The following is a 2,005-nucleotide window of genomic DNA, read 5'->3' on the forward strand; positions in this document are numbered from 1 at the left end:
GTTCTTATAGAAGGATTGTTGGTTAGTGGGAGAAGCCCAGCTCGGAAGGGACTCTGGGGAACTGATGTGGGGTGAGGATGCTGGGAGGGACCAGCACCCTCATCCTGGCCAGGCACCCCCGGCTGTGCACTCTCAGGCAATTGCTTTTTCCCCTGGGGCCTCTCAGCGTCATCATCGCCAGCACTGGGGGCTTGGATAAGATGATCCCATTCATTCATTCATTCATTCATTCACTCACTCATTCAGCAGATATTTATTGGTGGCCTACCGTGTGCCAGGCACTGTGCCAGGTGTCAGGGACGTTCTGGTGAACAATAGCAGCTCGGTCCCTGTCTCATGAGGCTTACATTTTAGTGGAGAAGGTGTGGCAACAAGTATCACACAAATCAGACAACTGCAGATTGACAGAGGCACTGAAAAGGGAGCAAGCAAGGGGCTGGGAGGGAGCACTGTGAGCAGCACTATCGTTCTCCCAAGTGTTTGGCCAGGGTGGCAAGGAATGCGTCCCTGGAGAGGTCGTTTACACCGAGACCTGGAGGGTGACGTGGAGCCAGGGGAGTGGTAGGGACAATCCCGGTCCCTTCGGGCAGCACTGAACAAACCCATGGCACTCCCCTCTGACACTGATCCAGTCTCGTGGAACCCAGTCGTATTGGGGGAAATGGAGGAGCAGGGAGGGATGGGACATCCTCAAAGTAAACAGAAAACGAGTCCAGCTGAGCTGATCCTGACTCTGTTTCTCTTTTGAAGTAAGAGAAAGGAAGGAAAAGTTCATTAGGGGAAGACTGTTTTCCCCACAATCCTCCCTGTCCCATGGGCTCCAGTGTCTCAAGACCCTTATCTGGTAAACATATTTGTCAGGAGGTGGGGGACAGCCACACAGGAGCTCCCGTGAGTGTGCCTGTTGTGCGCGTGATATGTGTGCTCGCGTGCACATATGCACTCAGCTGGCGTCCTTGGCTAGAAACCTAACTTCCAGCTCTGGCATCCTTGGAAACACACAGCCATTCTGACAGGTTCTTACCCTTCCGGTGGGACAGAAGGCAAAGGAAGCTCCCCATCTCCTGTGGCTGCCATCAGGGCGAGGTTCGCTGGATGTGCCAATGGGCTTGCCGTTCTGATTCCCCGGGCCTGGCGCCTGACTTTCTGAACGGGTTTTACTTTTATGGGAAGTGACAAAGCAAAACTGAGAGATCGAGGTGTGTCATATCTCCAGACACATACAGAGGGACCTGAGTTCCACTTTCTTGGGTACAGGAGCAGAATATGGAAAAACAAATGAAAAATTCATTCTTCTCCACCAACTTTGTCTGGAGGCAGCAGGGGAAAAATTCTTTGCACAGGATGGAGAGTAAAGAAAGGGAGGATGTGATAAATAAGACTATAAAGCAATCAGAGAGAGAGAGGAAAATAAAGAAAAGAGAGGGAAAGAAACAGAAACAAGACAGAGAATGAAAGGCAGAGAGGTGGTGCCAGAGAGGAGGTGAGGCAGACAGGGGAGCAAGAGGAGACAAGAGGAAGCAGAGAGGAAGGAGGAGAGGAGACACGAGAGCCGGAGAGGAAGGAGGAGAGGAGACACAAGAGCCGGAGAGGAAGGAGGAGAGGAGACACGAGAGGCAGAGAGGAGAGAGGAGAAAGCCAGAAAGAGGGGAGAGGAGGGGAAAGCAGAGAGAGAGAAGGGTGGGAAGGAGAGAGGGACTAAGGAGAGGAGAGAGGGGAGAGGAGATGAGAGAGGCAGTGAGGTGGGCATGGGCCAGGCACCCCAGGTGCAGGTGGGCAGCTCCCCAGCCCCCTTCTCCCGCCAACACACCTCCCCCAGTGAGACAGGCTGTCTGCAGGCACCTGCAGGCAACCACAAGGACAAAATGATACCTCCTTTCCAAGAGAACAAGTTTGCAGCACATATGTGTGCCCCCTGGGCTCTCCACACTGCCTGGCAGGCCTAGCAGGAAGAAGTGGGTGAAGGACCCATTGCACCCATGCAGGGCTGGGACAGGACGGTCCA

General features: G+C 53.8%; 1 annotated feature.

The window, feature by feature from the left end:
• Nucleotides 1,048–1,117: an enhancer, noted in NCBI's record as "active region_8988". NCBI's record gives its function as "activates an Ori minimal core promoter by ATAC-STARR-seq in GM12878 lymphoblastoid cells {active_cell/tissue: GM12878}" and the evidence as "EXISTENCE:reporter gene assay evidence [ECO:0000049][PMID:35858748]".

This window comes from Homo sapiens, chromosome 14 (genome assembly GCF_000001405.40).
Source record: "Homo sapiens chromosome 14, GRCh38.p14 Primary Assembly".
Lineage (NCBI taxonomy): Eukaryota > Metazoa > Chordata > Mammalia > Primates > Hominidae > Homo > Homo sapiens.